We start from the raw sequence: 1,556 nt of genomic DNA on the forward strand, positions 1-1,556 counted from the left end.
AGATACATAAAAAACACCTGTCCCCCAAATTCCAAGACACTTTTAAAGTAGGGCCAGGAACATCGGCTATGTAGGATGATTTGTTCCCTCATGAGGAAGATTGCCCTGGTCTGGGCTTCTGCAATCCTTCTTTTAAGTAGTCATCTGTTATTCTTACCTGGGGGAAAGAGAGAAGTTGCTGGAGGAGAGTGTCCCTTATTGAGTCAAGTAGGACATGAGTTTTATTCCTGGCTCTACCAATTTCTAGCTGTGACAACTTCTGCAAGTTGCTAAAGCCTTTTGGACTCCAGTTTGCTGCATTGTACAATTGGGATAAATATTCCCAGCTCATAGTGTTCTTACAAAGTGAGATAGTGTACTCAAGGGACTTAGCATGGTGGATTGGTTAGCTGTGACTAGGTCACAAAGCACCCCAAATTCAGAGGCTAAAATCATGAAGCATTTATGGTCTCTCACGTATGTACGCATCAGCTGAGAATTCTGCTAGTTTGGGCCAGGCTTGGCTGATCTTGGCTGGGCTTGTTCATGAGCTTGTGCTCAGCTGATGGATGGGCTGAGGGTTGGCTAGCTAGGATGGCCTCATTTGCATGTCTGGCAGTGGGCTGGGAGGCAGCTGGAGTTATTGGACCACATGTCTCTCAGCCACCAGCAGGCTAGCTTGAGCTGCTTCACATGGCAGAGGCTCAAAGAGCAGCAGAAGTGTGTACAGCTTTTCAAACTGGCACTGCATCCCTTCTACCACGCTCTCTTGGCCAAAGTAAGTCATTCATGGGATTGCAGCATGGATTCTACCTCTTGATGGGAAGTCACATTGCAAACGGCAGCCACTTTTTGCAATGAATCTGCTTCACACCAAACAGGGTACAAGTACTCCAAAGACAATAGCTGTTAAAGACGGATTTCACAGGCTGAAAATTGCAAGGACTGGTTTTGTCTATAGCCTCTCAGTGGAAGCACTTACAAATTGTCCATTAGGAATCCCACATCATAAGCATTTATTGTCAATATTAGCAATGCCTCATCATTATATTTTTACTAGAATTCATGGAGGGGATGGAGAGCTGGATCAAGCTGTTCGAGGTAGAAGGTGGACAAGTTTCTAGGACAGAATGGAGAGAACTCCTGGTGAGACTTGCTTCTGTCCTTGCAAGGGAGGCAACTGCCAGGAAATCCTGGGGTTCAGAACTGTGTTCTTGACATGGAGAGGAGCTGACTCTTTTTTTTTTTTTTTTTTTTTTTTTTTTTGAGATGGAGGCTTACTCACTCTGTCACCTAGGCTGGAGTGCAGTGGCGTGATCTTGCCTCACTGCAAACTCCATCTCCCAGGTTCATGCAATACTCCTGCCTCAGCCTCCTGAGTAGCTGGGATTACAGGTGTGTGCCATCACGCCCAGCTATTTTTTTTTTTTTTTTAATTTTTAGTAGAGACGGGATTTCACCATGTTGGCCAGGCTGGTCTTGAACTCCTGACCCCAAATGATCCTCCTGCCTCAGCCTCCCAAAGTGCTGGGATTACAGGTGTGGGCCACCGTACCAGGTCCAAAGAGCCCACTCTT

General features: G+C 46.2%; 1 annotated feature.

The window, feature by feature from the left end:
* Positions 548-717: an enhancer, noted in NCBI's record as "experimental_99850 CRE fragment used in MPRA reporter constructs". NCBI's record gives its function as "activates a minimal promoter by MPRAs in K562 erythroleukemia cells, with activity observed for both the introgressed and non-introgressed 7:67232136 variant alleles {active_cell/tissue: K562}" and the evidence as "EXISTENCE:reporter gene assay evidence [ECO:0000049][PMID:34662402]".

The sequence above is a fragment of the Homo sapiens genome, chromosome 7 (assembly GCF_000001405.40).
Source record: "Homo sapiens chromosome 7, GRCh38.p14 Primary Assembly".
NCBI lineage: Eukaryota > Metazoa > Chordata > Mammalia > Primates > Hominidae > Homo > Homo sapiens.